General features: G+C 37.8%; 1 protein-coding gene and 1 long non-coding RNA gene across 3 annotated transcripts in view; both read right to left on the bottom strand.

Annotated features, from left to right (window-relative positions):
- The window catches only part of PIR-FIGF (PIR-FIGF readthrough), a 145,719-nt gene that overhangs the window by 39,126 nt on the left and 89,553 nt on the right, over nt 1-17,040 (bottom strand). The window contains exons 8-9 of the long non-coding RNA NR_037859.2: nt 12,733-12,815; nt 5,469-5,535 (exon numbers count right to left, since the gene is read on the bottom strand). This is a non-coding gene — a long non-coding RNA (PIR-FIGF readthrough). The remainder of the gene's footprint in view (nt 1-5,468; nt 5,536-12,732; nt 12,816-17,040) is intronic.
- PIR (pirin) overlaps nt 83-17,040 on the bottom strand; it is a 108,535-nt gene continuing 91,577 nt past the window's right edge. For both annotated transcript variants that reach the window (NM_001018109.3, NM_003662.4), the window contains exons 8-10: nt 12,733-12,815; nt 5,469-5,535; nt 83-400 (exon numbers count right to left, since the gene is read on the bottom strand). In NM_001018109.3, the coding sequence (NP_001018119.1) occupies nt 288-400; nt 5,469-5,535; nt 12,733-12,815 (263 nt within the window). In that variant the 3' untranslated portion in view covers nt 83-287. The remainder of the gene's footprint in view (nt 401-5,468; nt 5,536-12,732; nt 12,816-17,040) is intronic.

Genomic DNA, 17,040 nt, shown 5'->3' on the forward strand with positions numbered 1-17,040 from the left:
ATGCAAAAAAAGGCAAACATACACAAAACGACTTTTTAAACAGAAGCTTAGTAACTTAGGTATCTCAAATGAAAAACACTGATTTTTAAAGAAACAATGATTAGGTTTATTTGCATGTGCCAGGAAATATCCTACATTTATTGTTACAAAAACCATGTTATCACGTTAGTGTGGAATTCTTTAGAAGCACCGGCTAAATAAGCTTTAGAAATGGAATGCCTTCAATGGCTCAATCTCAGAAATGGCAAAATTCTAGGACACATCAAGACCTGCTCTTCCGCTTTCCACTAGTTCCCAATCTTTGATTTCCAGGTTTTGGCCCTTTCAAACCCATTTTTTGCGTTTCTGAAATCAAGAATAGCTTGAGAAATCTCTTCATTGGTGTTCATCACAAATGGACCTAGGGCAGAAAGAGACATTCAGAAAGTTCTGGGTGGCAATATTTTCCTCTACCACTAGAAATGATATATATTTCTGTAGTTCTTAATTTAAAACAAAATCCAAGCACATCCGAAGAGTAAAAGTTTATTTTCACAGTGTTCAATCCCCAAGGACTGTAAGATGAGTTTCTTGACTAGGATTGTATATGATTATTGATTATAAAGACGAAACTTCAGATAAATGCAATGGCATCTCACCCATTCAGTATAGGTTTCTCACCAGCAATGGTGATCTTTTTTATTAAAAAGAGTCTTAGATTTGGTTCTATTACAACCAATTTTGTAGTTATTTTTATAACATTAGCTGATGTCAAGAATTGAACCCATCTGATACAAAGAACTGACAAATCTTATCATAGCTTTGGTGTCTAAGCAGCATATAAGGCTGTATACTTATTTGAGGATTCTAAGTCATTTTTTGAAAATCAGCAGCACCTATTGACAATAAACAGAAGATTATAAAAATTTCAAGTCGAAGAGCATCATTTTTTAAAAGTTTTCTAGGGGTTGGCAAATGTTTGCTAGGAAGGGCTAGATAGTATGTATTTTAGATTTTGTGGGTCAAACAGTGTCTGTCTCAACTACTCAACTCTTTCATCAAAGTGCAAAAGCAGCCATAGATAATGCAAAAGTGAATAGGTATGGCTGTGTCCCAATAAAACTTCATTTACAAAAACATGCAGTGGGCAGATGTAGCCCATCGACCATAGTTTGCTGACCCTTTTGTCTAATTGCTGGGTCTGAACTCGGATTTTGCTAAAAATGTACAAGAAGTCCTCCCCTAATCTACCAGGAGGCAATGTGTGTTTCTTCCCCTTTCTTCATATATTGTAGGGGCAGAGAGGCACTGGACTGTCTCACCCCCATGATCTGCTAGATGAACAAGGCCAGCTTTTATATGGCATTGACAGTGTCTTTAGAGCAGTTGACAGACTTGTTCACTCAGTGTATGTCCTCATCCAGCCTGCAGAAGTTCCTGACATTCCTTTTATGGAACTGCCTGCTCTAAGGGGCTTTCTCTGGGAGATTCTGATTAATATACAACTGTATTGCTTAGAGAAAATAACATATTCAAACTTCTTAACCATTGTTATCATATCAACATGGATTTGGTGATCACTATAATTTAAATCTTCAGAAGGAAGACACAGGATAATATGTCTTGATGATGCTGAAATCTTTGGAGAGGATGTGGGGAATAGAATACAAGTAGAAAGAAAACACCCAGGCATCTAAATCCATTCATTCAATTACCTATCTATTATGTACTGAATGCCCATTAAATGACAGACATTGTGCTAGAAGCTAGAGACATAAAGATGAAAGACAAATAAATGGCAGACTCCCTCTCCTCAAGGATTCAAATCTATCACACAGATATGAAAAGAAATCATTACAAAACTGTTTGAAATATGGAAGGATAAAAGTGTAAAAACTATAAAATCAACACAGAAAGGGGGAGGAGGAGAAATCCAGGAAAGGATTCACAGAGGGAGTGATGTTTGAGCAGTCACACACGGAGGAAAGGCATGTTCAGGCTTAGTATGCTGGAGGAATACTGGAGGGGATAGGGGTACAGTGGTGGAAGGAGGGATCAAAGGCGGAAAAAATGGCGATCTGAAATATAGGAAGAAACCAGACCCTTCTGGGCTTTGGATGCAATCTACAGGAAGAAGTTTGGACCTACTTTTGCAGGTGATTATGAATCACTGTAAGGTTAAGTAGGGAGTAATATAATATGATTTATAATTTTTAAAGAAGACTTTGGCATCAAGGTAGAAGAGCAGGTGTCTAATTTGGGAGGCTGAGTCAATGGTGGAATTGTTAAGGGTATTTGAGATACAGGACGTGGGAGGCTTTGGATGGAGCAAGGTGTTCAGTTCTGGATATTTTTTGTTTTGTTTTTCTTTTCTTTTCTTTTTTTTTTTTTTTTTTTTTTTTTTTTTTTTTGAGACCGAGTCTTGCTCTGTCGCCCAGGCTGGAGTGCAGTGGTGAGTGGTGCGATCTTGGCTCACTGCAACCTCCGCCTCCCGGGTTCAAGTAATTCTCACACCTCAGCCTCCCCAGTAGCTGGGATTACAGGCACGTGCCACCATGCCCGGCTAAATTTTTGTATTTTTAGTAGAGATTGGGTTTCACCATGTTGGCCAGGCTGGTCTCAAACTCCTGACCTCAAGTGATCTGCCAGCCTCGACCTCCCAAAGTGCTGGGATTACAGGCATGAGCCACCGCGCCCGGCCCAGTTCTGAGTATTTTAACATAGAAGTACTAGAGACAATAAAGTGGTTTCCCAAGCAGAGGTTTTTGGTACATTGTTGAAACTATGGATCTGGAGCTCATGAGAGAAATTTCATCTGGAAATGGAGGTTTGGACTATATCAGGTAGGAAAGAAAAAGAGAGTTAACATATGCAGAATAAACAATAAACCCAAGAGGGTACCCTGGGGAAGACAACTTTTTAAAGGACACGCAGGGGAAAGGGAAATGCAACTTGGAAGATGGGAGCAGGTACTGAGTCAAGGACCAAATTCTTGTGCCTCATAATTTTGCTATGGTTGGGACTTGTGGAGCAGTACTCCCATCCCCCAACTGTTTTCTGTAAGAATGGTGTGCTTCTAGGCTTCCATTTTGACACTTTCTGGGGTAGTCTGCCATGTTTCTCAATTTATAACGTGCACATGAATCAGCTGGGAATCTTATTAAAATGCAGATTCTGATTCAGGAGGTCTGGAGTGAGGCCTGAGATTCTGCATTTCTAACTATCTCCCAAGTGATGCTGATACTGCTGGTCCATGGACCACACTTTAGGAAACAAGTATAACCTCTGTTATACAGGGAAGCATTGGAAGCTTAGAGTCCCCTAAAGCTAACTGATGAAGCTTATCTCCTCAAATCTTCAAGGAGAAAACTGAATCCAGAAAGCATGTTTTTAAATTGATCAACTACAAGGGTTGTGAACAAGAAAATTATTTGATAGTTACCTATAATTCTCTTTCAAATTATAGCTTTCATCACTTCTCTAATTAAGCCTCTGAAGCCCCCCTCTTGTATAAAATGGTGTGTCTAACCTCTTGTTATGTAGAACTTTGGTATAGTGGAGCGAACATAAGACATGGGGTCAGGAGACTAGGGTTCGAGTCCCAGCTCCACTGCTAACAATCGCTTTCCATTAGAGAAGCTACAGGGCAGAGCAATGGACGACCAGCATGGTAAGAGGCAGAAGGGCAGGGTGTTTGGAAAACAGACAGCCTGAGTGTGAATCCAGCTATGTGACCTTGAGTAAGCCAATGAACCTTTGACCTTCTGCTTCTTCATCTGTAAAATGGGCATGAGAGTACCAACCTCATAGGGTTGTTTTGAAGGTTAGACGGATTAACATTAGGAAAGTGCTTTAACCAATGTCTAGGAAATAGTAAATTCTATGCAAGCATCCATTAAGTAAATAAATAAAATATCTGGATTTTATTTTCCTCATCTATAAAAGAGGCATGACTACATCATGGCTAAGGTTATTTTCTATCCTAACATTCTATGATTTCCTGTGCTTAATCTGTGGATGAATAATTAAGGACACACGATGATAAGAGGAGAAAGGGTCTTAGGTAATTCATGAGATCTGTGCAAGTTCCCAATCAAGAGATGGTTGTGGCTGCCTTTAAACACACATAAGTAAAAGAAAAACTTAAATGTCTGAGTTTTTAAAAGTTAAAAAATAAAAACAAAATGCTTTGCTTCTCAGTAACTGAACTTTCAAGGGACATATTTATTTTGTCTGATTACTCCGAGTTTGTATGTGCAGGCATACCTAGTGTCCCTGTGTTCCAAGCCACTGGGAGAGGATCCACATGACCCCAGTGTAGGGTGGCTTTGAGCAGTCCCACTCCTTTGATCTGTCACCTAATTCAGTTAGACTCTTGCTTTTCATTATTGGTACAGAGGAGATTGCCTAAAATAAGACTTCCATCTCACACATGTTTTTCCCACCTAAATGTTAGTTACTAGGAATAAAGATTATGACCCTACTCAGTTTGTCTGAAGGCTTTTTCCAGAAAAACAAACTATAATATTGCAGTGCTTTTCAGTTGAGAGAAAAGGAAACAAGAACCACAAACCTTTGGAATGGAAATCGGATGCGTACAAAATGGTTGTCAAATGCTACAGGCAAGGCAGGGTACAATTTAATGTTCCCCCTGAAGTAGTTAGTAGAACAAAAAAGAATATTTTTAAAGCAATCCGTGTTCTTTAAATTCATGAGCAGCTGGGGTTTATCTGCAATCATTGTGTGTACCTGGGAATTCATGCAAGGCAGGGAAATGCAATGGGATTTTAATGCACGTTGAATTTAATAATTGGTGAAGTGGACATATGTTTTGTAAGCATTTATCTAAATAATAAAATGGGTTTTAATTGCTTTTAGATGTTCCTCATTTAATCAAACAACAATGATATGAAGAAGTCAAAACCCAAAGAGTTGAAGTAATCGTTATGGGTACTTAAGCCAGGATTTTCTGCCTCTAAGTATAGTACTATTTCGGCTATATCAGTTACCTCTACTCATTTTTTTAAATAAACAAAAAATAACAACTATTTTCTTAAAAATACTATTCCTAAGAGTTTCATATTTTTTACTAAAAATGCAATAGACTACAGGACAGTATTGAAATCACCTTTATTTTTGATAAAGATAAAAAGGATGTTAAAGTTCCCAGTAGACTGTAGACTCTTTTTTCAAGTTAAAATTCCCTATGACATAATACAAAAATACTATTTTTGTTCTTCCCACAGTTCCAAACTCAATATCCTATACATAATAGGTATCTAAGAAATGTTTCTTTAAAAAAAAAGAGATGAATAAACATCACATATATATTTCCCTCTGATGACAGAAAAATTAAACAATCCTCAGATTTATAGATGGAGAGACAGGACAAAAAAAACCAGCTATTCTTCCCAACAATAGTATACATGTATACTGTTTTCAAAGAAAAGGAAAATCAACCAAGAAAATCATTGTCATTTTGGTCTTACCATGTTGGATAACTGGTTCTCTTAATGGCTCCCCAGCAATTAAGACAAAGTGGCTTCTCTTGGGATCCTAAAGTTAACAAAGAAAACATCAAACAATAAGCAGGCTTATTTTTGAAGATCAAATTGTGAACAATTTGAAATTGACATGCTAGCCAAATAGGCGATGTTCCTAATTCTGAATATAATTTTCAAAAATATTTTCTGTGCAACACTCAATATAGACATGTTTATTTCTTACGTTGTTTAGTAGCAAGTAGAACTCAAGAATAAGTCCAAGCCACCAAAATATTAACATTCTCAAATTTAAGAAGGAGAACTTAAATTAAGATTTCTTTAACTGGAAATATCTTCACGACAAACCATGTGATTAAATGGCTTATCATGGGATTTATGATTTCTCAGTTACCATATAATTTTTAAAAGGGAAGATTAGTTATGGAAATCCAAAATAAGATTTTGTTACTTTTGAAAATTATTACTAATAATGTAAAATATGCCCCGGAAATATTGCACTAAATGGAACCTTATAAAAACAGAGCATCCAAGGGACATCTGCTCAAGCAAATTTCCCTCCAAAAGGGTCCTATTACGTTAAAGTCTCTAAAAGTTTTTGCTTAGAATTAAGGATTCAATTTTTTTCCTGAAACTGGAAAAAATATTAACCATAATATCCAGTGCTAGTATGGATACAGGGAAAAATACACTTTCATATATCGTTTGGGAGATTTTCAACTGGTGCAGTAATCCTTCCAGAGAGCAATTTGACAATATGACTCAAAACCCCCAATATTGCTAATGTCCTCCGATCCAGTAATGACAGTTTTAGCAATACAGTGTAAGGGAATTTCACTGTCGTAGCACTATTTATCACAGCAGAAATTGAAAACATTTCTCCAAAAGTGAGGGGTTGGTTAAATAATTATATGTTTATAAGAAAAACTATCAAGTGGCTATTAAAATTCATTTTCTCAACAAATATTTAAGTGTGTAATAAAATGTTCATAATGTCTTGTAAGTTTTGTAAATATCACAAAATGGTATGTATATACTATGGATTAAAAATACTAAAATATTAGCATTTATTATTTCTGAATAATGAGAATTAAAGCAAATTTTATTTTCTTCTTTATGCTTTTCTGTATTATTTTCAAATTGCTACAAAAATTTGCTAATTTTAAAAGTTAAAAGGAAACATAAAATATATATTTTCTAAAGTCTGTGTTTGGGGAATTGTTTTGTAATCAAATGCATTTCTGGTTTAACAATCATTAGATCATTTCATTATATAAAACTAAGTATTTTAAGTAATTCACATGTTATAATTGTAAGAGTCCTATCTATCAAAATCATACGTATATCATACATATATACACTTTTCAGTAATTTTATTTGTTAGAAATGGGTGTTTGATTTGAAATTAAGGAGAACTGTAGTTCCGTCAGAAGTGAATTACATATGTACTTAGATACACTTCTATGTGGTGTTTTGTGCCCTGGTAACTTAGTTAAGTTGAGACAATGTGGCGGTTAGTTGTAACAGGTAGTCAGAGGTGCTGCTAGACTTTAGCTTGTCCTCATCCTCCTGCATGCCATGTCCAGCTCTTCTTCCTGACTGCTAATTCTGCTAAGAACGGCCGCAGCTCCATCCCTAGACACTAAGCTGCAGAACTACAGACTTCTCCACTAGACTTCTTTTGTGGCCTCATTTTAGTGCCTGAATATGCTTGGCATTCCAGATTAACTGGTTGGTGACTTCTCTGATTCCCCAGCTTCTGCTTTCCTATCTTCATTTCCACAGCTCCTCCCATAAGCAAATGCTCCCTCTCTGGGAAGCTGTCTTGTGACTGCCCTCTCGCGAGGAATCCCAAACTAGCCAAATGGAGGGGCTACCTAGAGCAGAACTCAGGCATCTCTAAACAACAGCCCCAGCAGAGCCCAGCTCCCAGCCTGCCAGCCACATGAGTGACCCCAGAGAAACCGGCATTAGAACTCCCCACCACATGGAGAAATAATAAATGATTGTTATTTTAAGCCACTAAATTTTAGCGTGGTTACTCACTAATAGATAACTGAACATTATATATCTCTTTTCAGGCTTCTTTTAGGTATATCTTATTTAGAATAAAACAATAAACAAAGCCAAAATGATTACGCACTTTAAAATGAAGCCTTCAAAATTTTTGAAACTTCACCCCAATTCTAATAATATAGCATATTTCTAAATATGTAAGTCAATATTATACTATATCATACTTCTATTAATGCAAAGCTCTTTAATTAGAAATTATTGTAATGTTACTAGTTCCAGAAGATTACTGGATTCAATAAAATTAATAATTAATTCCTTAATCTTCCATGTATTTAATAAAAACTACCGTATTTGACATGACAGAAATTTGTTTCCCTTTCCTGCCTTCAACTTAAAAAATAAATGGGACTGTAGGGTAGAATGGTTTCTTCAAAAGTCTTGATTTACTCCCTACAATCTCAGGGCTGGGGTCATTTAATACTTTTTAAATCAAAGCTGATGTTTTGATCACTTCTTTACATTTTAAAAAGTCTCTGTTTAACCATTGCAAGGCCTATATTTATTTATGTACCATCACTTTACTTATCCATAACCCAACTAGCTGTCAAAATATGCAAACATGAACCTAGATGACATTTTCTTTCCTTAACTTGCCTTCTTTGGTGAAATCTAATCATCTTTCCAGATATTCCAGAAAATACAGTGATGATGTGGCTGAAAGTCTCAGTTGCTGTTATCTTGAAAAGTCCTTGTCTATGATGACTTTGTCTATGGTGTCAAATGATGAAAATCATGCAAAAGCCAAGAGAATTAAATACCCATTTAAAACCCAAGTCCTTGCATGGTTCTAAATGCCTTTATGGGATTTGATTTTAAAAACCCATACAAAAGTAGCAGAGGTCCACTTACTACTTCACCCCAACTAACGTTCACCATCTTTTGGCACCATGTCTTTTGCTTTGGTGCACCTTTTCAGAGTTTCTGGTACAGAGTTAAGCTCTTCTGGGTTTACTTAATAATTTACTTTTTTAAGTTGCTCTTGTTATTCCATAAGTATTTTTGCCAAGATATGTCTCGAGTTCTGCTGATACCAACAATAAATGATCAAAGCCCAGATGAAAGTTTTATGGTTCACTTAATATGTTGATAACTTCTAAACTATGAGTAGCTACTCAGTTTGATCAACTATAAATATAAAACTCAAGATGGCAGTAGGACTCTGAGTATGAATCTAAGGCATGGGTCCCCAACCCCCAGGCCATGGACCAGTACCAATTGGTGGTCTGTTAGGAACTGGGCTGCACAACAGGTGAGTGGCAGGTGAGGTAGTGAAGCTTCATCTGTATGTACAGCCACTCCCCACTGCTCGAATTACCACCCCAGCTCTGCCTCCTGTCAGATCAGCAGTGGTGCTGGATTCTCATAGGAGCACAAATCCTGTTGTGAACTGCACATGTGAAGGACCTAGTTTGCAAACTCCTTATGAGAATCTAATGCCTAATGATCTGTCACTGTCTCCCATCAACCCCGGATGGGACCATCTAGTTGCAGGAAAACAAATTCAGGGCTCCTACTGATTCTACATTATGGTGAGTTATAGAATTATTTCTGTCACTGTCTCCCATCAACCCCGGATGGGACCATCTAGTTGCAGGAAAACAAATTCAGGGCTCCTACTGATTCTACATTATGGTGAGTTATAGAATTATTTCATTATATATTACAATGTAATAATAATAGAAATAAAGTACACAATAAAGGTAATGCGCTTGAAGCATCCCCAAACCATTCCCAGCCACCCCCATCTGAGGAAAAATTGTCTTCCAAGAAATTGGTCCCTGATGCCAAAAAGGTTGGGGACTGCTGATCGAAGGGCATGTTTTTGCATCAATAACATTGATTATAGTGATATATTACCTGAAAAAAATTACCAGAAAGAAACTGTGCTTTAGCATGACTTATTGCATGCATTTGTTCCTACCAGACTTCATTGTTTATACTTCTTGGGCCAATGAAAAGATCAAACAAGTAACTGTTATCAGCTTAAAAATTTAGTGGTTTATTTCATCATGAACTTTTACACTAAACAAGCAAAAAAGTTTTCTCTAGTTTTAACAGGATGTTTTGTTTTATTTCTGTCTTTCAATGTTTATTTTAATCAAATGCTATATATAGTCAAATGTTAATCTTTATTATATTAATGAGTTTTCCATGAATAGTGCCAGTTAAAAAGCACTGTTACAGTGAAGTATGGCTTTGATGACAGCCAGTGAGGTATTGATTGTCTTCCTTGGTCCACTACGGGTGAGTTTGCTAATCCATGAGGCTTAAGACCTTCTCAATAGTATACCACTATAAACATAAGCCTAAGGGTGAGATGGAGCCTTTCATATCAAACTCTAGTACTCCTGATCGTGGAGCCATCAGGGAAACCATCATCTTAAGAGAAAGTCCAGAGTACCATCAGTAGGTCAAAGCAGCACAGGAAGCCTTAGCCCTTGAAACAGAAGCTATTCTGGGATGACTGGTACCAGTCCAGGATTAAATGTCCAGAGTAGTCTGGAGTTGATTCCAATCTCTAAGAACTCTGAAAAAGTTCTAAGATGGAACAGGGAAACCTGGGGCAGAAAGAAGCTGTAGTCTTTTGCATCATCCCTTCCTTGTCCTCCTCTCCTGTCCTGGAGATTGGCCACTATAGGAGATACTGCCCATACTACTGGTCAACCAGTAGTCAAATGGGTGTGATGGTGGAGAACACAGAAAGGAAGAGTAGTAAAAGTGCAGGAAGAACAGAGCCAGAAAAAAAGCCAGGCAAAAAATCAGCTTCTCATTCTTGACCACAGTTTAGTGGAAATGGGATTGGCGCGGCACTGGGCAGTCACATCTTCCTTCTTTATCAAATCCTCAGGCTAATGCTAGGTTCAAGTGAGGATAACACTGGCTTGGAGCGTGAGTGAGTCAGGGTCTCTTGGAGCCTTCTTCTACCTGTAGAAACTGTTATGTGCCCTAAGCCTTCAGGTCTACTGTATAAATCCTTATTAGGTAACATGCATGTGGTATGACTATCAAATTAGATATTTGGATTCATAAACTTTCCAGTTACCATTATTGAGCATCTACAACGTAGTAAACCAAACCTTTTCTGTAAAGGGCCAGAGAGTTTTAGGCTTTATTTGTCACAACTACTCAATTCCACTGTTATTGGATAAAAGAACCTATAGACAATATGGAAACGAATGGGTGTGGCTGTGGTCCAATAAAACTTTATGAAAAAGGTTTGGATTTGGCCTATTGGACATAATTTACTGACCCCCATGCTCAATCTGGAGTAGACTTGTAATATACGTAATCTCAAATATTCTTTCTAACAATCACTTGCAGTTGGCAGTATTATTTTAATTTTGCAGACAAAGAAACTGAAGCTCAGAGGGCTTTACAAACGTGTCCAAAGTCACAACAGCTAACAAGCAGTAAAGCCAAGATTCAAACCTTCAGAATTTCTTTTCTGCTGTAATCTAAAGGGGACTTTCTACTATTGTGTGGATATAAGTGACACATGCTGCCTTTAAATGCTGATTTTTTAATATCAATTTTTTCATAGAAATCTTTCTAAGGTTTTGATGGCTCAGGCTATGCTTATACACAGCAACAATTACAGAATTGCACATAACAGAACGATGCCACTGGAGCCAGGAGTGCTGCTTGCCAGTGAATTGATGGTTTCAGCTGACTCTTTTCTATGTTGGCTGCACCTGTTCTTCTGACTCCCTTCATCACTTCTTTCTGGTGTTCTGTTTTAGCTTCCAACTCCTTATCTGCAATGTGCTCTCTGTGTATTATAGGAAGAACTGAGGTTGCCAAGTTAAACCAGATAATGTTACAAACCATTCTGATATTAGTAGGTTCTGGCCTATGTGTAGCTTTCATGCCTCTTTCCTGTATTGGATTGAAAGATATAAAATAGACATTTTTGTCGGTCAAAAGTCGCAGTTTCATATGGCTCAGTCTAATATTAAAGGGCACTGACCCTGACATATGCATTTTTCTAGTGCTCATCAGGTTTTTCTTCCGTTTACCTCACAGTTCATGGTGGTGCTGCAGATGATTAAAGCAGCAGTAGATTGCTGCCAGAAAAGTGGGCTAAGATCTAATAACTCCTCAAATCCACTGTGTTCTATAACAACAGGCAGGGTCAGAAGGCCAGAAGTCAGTCCGACTGCCTCGGCACTAGTCATCCACACACTAAAATAGTTTTCAAAGTTTGTTTTTTTCAGGAGCTTTTGCACAATTTTCTCCTCAATCCTCTTTATAAGAATGACATAAAGCAGTCAGATTGACTAAACAGACTCACAACATGGTGACTGAATTACTCAAGGGAATGAAATAGACATGAGAAAGAAACCTGGAAATTTGGGAATAAAAACCTCCCAAGACTCCTAAAATATCAGAAACTTTACTTAAAGAGCAGGGATTCATCACAAAAAGACTATGAAATGCATCCTATCTTCCTCTCAGTTCAAAGTGGGGATTCTTTTTTTTTTTTTTTTGAGACGGAGTCTCACTGTGTTGCCCAGCTGGAGTGCAGTGGCGCAATCTCGGCTCACTGCAAGCTCCACCTCCCGGGTTCACGCCATTCTTCTGCCTCAGCCTCCCGAGTAGCTGGGACCACAGGCGCCTGCCACCATGTCCGGCTAATTTTTTGTATTTTTAGTGGACACGGGGTTTCACCGTGTTAGCCAGGATGGTCTCGATTTCCTGACATCGTGATCCGCCCGCCTCGGCCTCCCAAAGTGCTGCGATTACAGGCGTGAGCCACCACGCCCGGCCAAGGTGGGGATTCTTTTCAAAGGGCTCTATGTGAGTATGCATGTAGATTTATATTTCTACTTCTATAGGGCTGATCTATTTTCACTTATGCTAAAAACAAAATAAATCAATTGTATAAAGAAAGAAAATTAAGAGACAACAAAGATGTGTTGCTTCCAGATTCAAATTTCCAGGGGTAAACAATAGGGACTTTATATGATTTCTGAAGATAAAGAATCAATAAAGATAAAACTTTAAAATAAACCCATAGAAATAGCAGAAATTAATGAAAAGACATGATAAACTTCTGGTATAATTTCTTCTCCAAGGAAGAGAGAAAAACTTTCAGTTATCCACAACATTTAGGCATTTTCTTGGAAACCAGTAGAAAGTACATGTTAAGAAAGTTAAAGGAAAATAACATACTTACCTTGTTCTCCACCTGGACACTGTCACCTTCTCCAAGCACTGCTGTGTGATGAGGTTCTATTTTTTGTTGTGCATCATCGGGCCCTACAAAACCAATGACACACTAATTTAATACCCATTATAGTACATTTGTTATATGGTTACTTATTTGGTTAACTATATAGCACCACAACATTTATTTTAATTTGAGAAATAATGGACTTAGTAATTCCCTTGAATCTCTTGGTTAATTATATTTGCTATTATTAAAGCCTGAAACTAGTTTGTTTTCAATTTTGAAAAAGGACAAGGAGATGAATCCTGCGTGTGTTTCCATTTACACTTTAATTGATAAGCAAAGTCCTTGGCATTATGTGCTCATGTTTCCTTAGGTAAATTATAAAGTTTATAAGAATTAAAAATAGTTAGAAAAATTATCAAATGCCATAATTAATTCATTTCCACAAGTATTAATTGAGTACCTACAATTGCCTAGCACTATGGGACAATACAGAGACATGCAAAGTAGATTCCTTTCATAGAAATAATTCAAAATCCTGCTGGAGCAAACTAAATCTATACACACAAAATAATCAGAGAATAATTCAACTGAAAAATAAGTAAGTTGGACAGCTATTGAATAATAGCTATTGAACTCTGAATAAGACCCTTGGGTGGGGGTAGGGGGGAGGGATAGCATTAGGAGATATACCTAATGTAAATGATGAGTTAATCGGTGCAGCACACCAACATGGCACGTGTATACCTATGTAACAAACCTGCATGTTGTGCACATGTACCCTAGAACTTAAAGTATTAAAAAAAGACCCTGTTCTAAATGTTGTGGGAATATTCAGGACAGATACATTTCCATCTCTTCTATACTGAGGTTTACAAATAAAATAATACAAATGAAAGTGTCTCTTAAAGGCAACGATAAATTCATAAGCAAAGTTCAATAAGAGAACAGGGGTGATGGGGGCTTGTGCAGGTCTAGGGACCACAGATATTTGTTGTGGAGGAGGTAAGACTTGAACAGAGCTCTGTAGGATTAGATAAACCACAAGAGGGAAATCTGGGGGAAAGGGCATTCTAGACAAGAGAAAAGATTGCAGTGAAAATTCTACCATTCTTGGAACAGTCTTTTGGGAAGAACGATGGAAATGTAAGCTGTCTTCAGATCAGGGAAAGCCTTTAAACCCATGTTTATCTGTATAAAATTGACAGCCCTTGAGGAGGGAGGGTGTGTGTGTGTGTGTGTGTGTGTGTGTGTGTGTGTGTGTGAAATTACCAGATCTGTGTCTTGGAGAAATGACTATGATGGCAGAATGTGGAGTGAATTGGAGGGGACAACACTGAAGTTAGGATGACCTGTTAGGAGTTTGCTGTAACAGTCTAAGTGAAAATGAATTACACTCTGAATTGAGAAAGTGGCAACAGAAAGATAGGGATGGATTTGACAGGTGGAGTTGAAAAAGAAATCTAAAGGATTTGGCAACAGTTGGAGAGAGAAAATTCTAACATGATTCTCACTAGGAGCAGAAGAATGTAGTGACTTGAAGATTGCAAGAGTGGTTCTGCAAGAGAAGGCTACAGACTGGAGAGGCCAAAGTGCACCACAGAAGGCTGTAGAGAGGGGGTGAGATTTGGATTAGGTCTTGCAGTTGGGAAAAACCCTGATATGTTAATGGGCAGGAGAGAGAAGGTTTCAAATTGAATGAGCAGCCCATAAAATGTCTTGGGAGATACACCTGCATGCCCTTTTGGGATGTAAATAAGGGCATTCATGTGACAAGTTGGAGCTGAATAATCAATAAGGAAATGCTTATTTAAATGAAAACAATAGCTTGAGCAATTATTATGTAAACAGAAACATAATTTGTGAATTTTGGACATATTTGTTGGAGTCCAAACAACTATATTTTCTAGAGAAGACCTTCTCACCTCCACTTTGGAAATAACCAATATGAGGCAGCAGGGTTCATTCTGATGCTTGCAAACATGAAATAGGATTCTAACAGAGCAGGAGTTCTCAACGTGGAGTCAATGTCCTCCCAAGGGGGGTCTATGGATACAATTCAGGGCATGGGTGGACTTTGATAGGAGATAAATTACATGTTTACTTTCACTAACACCTAAATTGAAACGTATCTTCTCCTTCAATCATGAATGTAGCCAACAAGCCACAGTAGTATTAGCTGGGCTGATGACTTTGTCTCCAGCAGAAATCATAGATATTTTCATATCACATTATGGTTTTGTAGATATCTCAAAATATAGTTTATGTTAATTATTACTTAAAATTTAGAGCAGGCCTGCTACTAGATCATGTTATGTCAAATGTCATTAAAGAAGCACACATATAGCTATATCCGAAACCTGTTCTTTTAACATTTTCATAACTGCACTGACTTTAAAAACATTATTTGAGGAGGCAGGAGGCTTCACAGATGTCAGAAAGGTCCATGGCAGTAAAAAGATTAACAACTTCTGTCCCAGAGGAAGTAGTGTGCTGGATAATGTTTAACAGTTGGCTTTCAGGAGTAAAGGGGAGAACTAACCTGATTCCCGTAGTGTGTGCCAATATCTGTGGTGTAAATACTCCCACTGTGGCCAATTTCAACCTACTGATGTGAGGCCAGGGAAGGCACACAATCAGCTCCTGCAAGCTAGCAAGAGCCAGCCCCAGCATAATACTAAAGGTTTCTCCTCCATCAAAGATTTAGGTCAACAAACGTCATGGAAACAAATGATAGAACTCCATTGATTTTCCACTTATGCAGGGATTTGGCAATAGAAGAGAGGTCTGGGAGTTTAAAAAAATCTCATTTAGAGTTGAGTAATATTTTCAACTGTGATACAGAGCAGCATTTCATTAAGTGTGCTTTACTGAGATCCCCTGGGAGCAATGAAACATGTCTTTATCTTCAACTAATTCATGTATAACACCCATTACCCACGTGGTCCACTCCTGGCCCATAATTTTGTCATGTAGGATGTTTCGTGATACATATACCAAAACAGTTTATAAACCCCTTCGCTATGTTTTAATGGAGTGAGCTGGCAAAAGAGTGCTCAAAAATAATGCTGAATTGGTATTTCTCTGCACCCCCTATCAGGGGAGCTTGCTTGACTATGGTGTTCATTGGTCTGTGAGGAAATCTTAATTCAGCAACAAAAAGTTTAGCTTGTCTAAGGGGCTCTAACTCTAATTGTATGTGGGATGCAATTTCTGCCCATTCTCTTTGCAATCTCAGTGTTGATACTAAAGAGGTCATTTGAAATGCTCCACTCTAAGGTAAATATTTATTTATTTATTTATATATTTATTTATTTTTGAGATGGAGTCTCTCTGTGTTGCCCAGACTGGAGTGCAGTGGCGCAATCTCAGCTCACTGCAACCTCTGCCTCCCGCGATTATTCTGCCTCAGCCTCCTGAGTAGCTGGGACTACAGGCATGTGCCACCAAGCCCGGCTAATTTTTTGTATTTTTAATAGAGATGGGGTTTCACCATGTTAGCCAGGATGGTCTTGATCTCCTGACCTCGTGATCTGCCCCCTCGATCTCCCAAAGTGCTGGGATTACAGGTGTGAGCCACCGCGCCCTGCTGTAAATCTTTATTTTTATTTATTTATTTTCTTTTGAGACAGAGTCTTACTCTGTTGCCAAGTGTGAAGTGCAGTGGTGTAATCACAGCTCACTGCAGCCTCAACCTCTGGGGCTTAAGTGATCCTCCCACCTCAACCTCCCAAGTAGCTGGGACCACAGGCATGCACTACCATGCCTAGCTAATTAAAAAAATTTTTTTTGGTAGAGGCAGGATCTTATTATGTTGCCCAGGCTGGTCTCAAACTCCTAGGCTCAAGCAATCCTCCCACCTCAGTCTCCCCAAGTGCTGGGATTACAGGTATGAGCCACTGCGCCTAACCAAGGTAAACCTTTCTTATAGACACTGGAGTCAGGGTTCCAGGTTAATAATAACTGCAAGTGTACTTTTAGCTTCTGTATTATTACATGAAATGTTTAAAACAGGGTCACGGTCACAGAAAGCAAAGATTGATTCTATCTTTATTTCCAGATCATTTTTATGTTATTCGCCCATCTGGTTATCTCCTGAACCTAAAATAAGTCTCAAAAAATATATCTTATTGTTTCTGACTACTTTCAATGATAAATAGAGCCAAATCAGATAACAAATAGTTTCCACTGGGAATCACTGCCAAGAATGTTAAATTTAATAGCACAGTTAAGGAAAAAATTAACTGAAAACAATTTAATTGCAATTTTTTTGCCTAAATAGTCATAAAAGGGTGAAATACTTCAAAACCT

This window comes from Homo sapiens, chromosome X (genome assembly GCF_000001405.40).
Source record: "Homo sapiens chromosome X, GRCh38.p14 Primary Assembly".
NCBI lineage: Eukaryota > Metazoa > Chordata > Mammalia > Primates > Hominidae > Homo > Homo sapiens.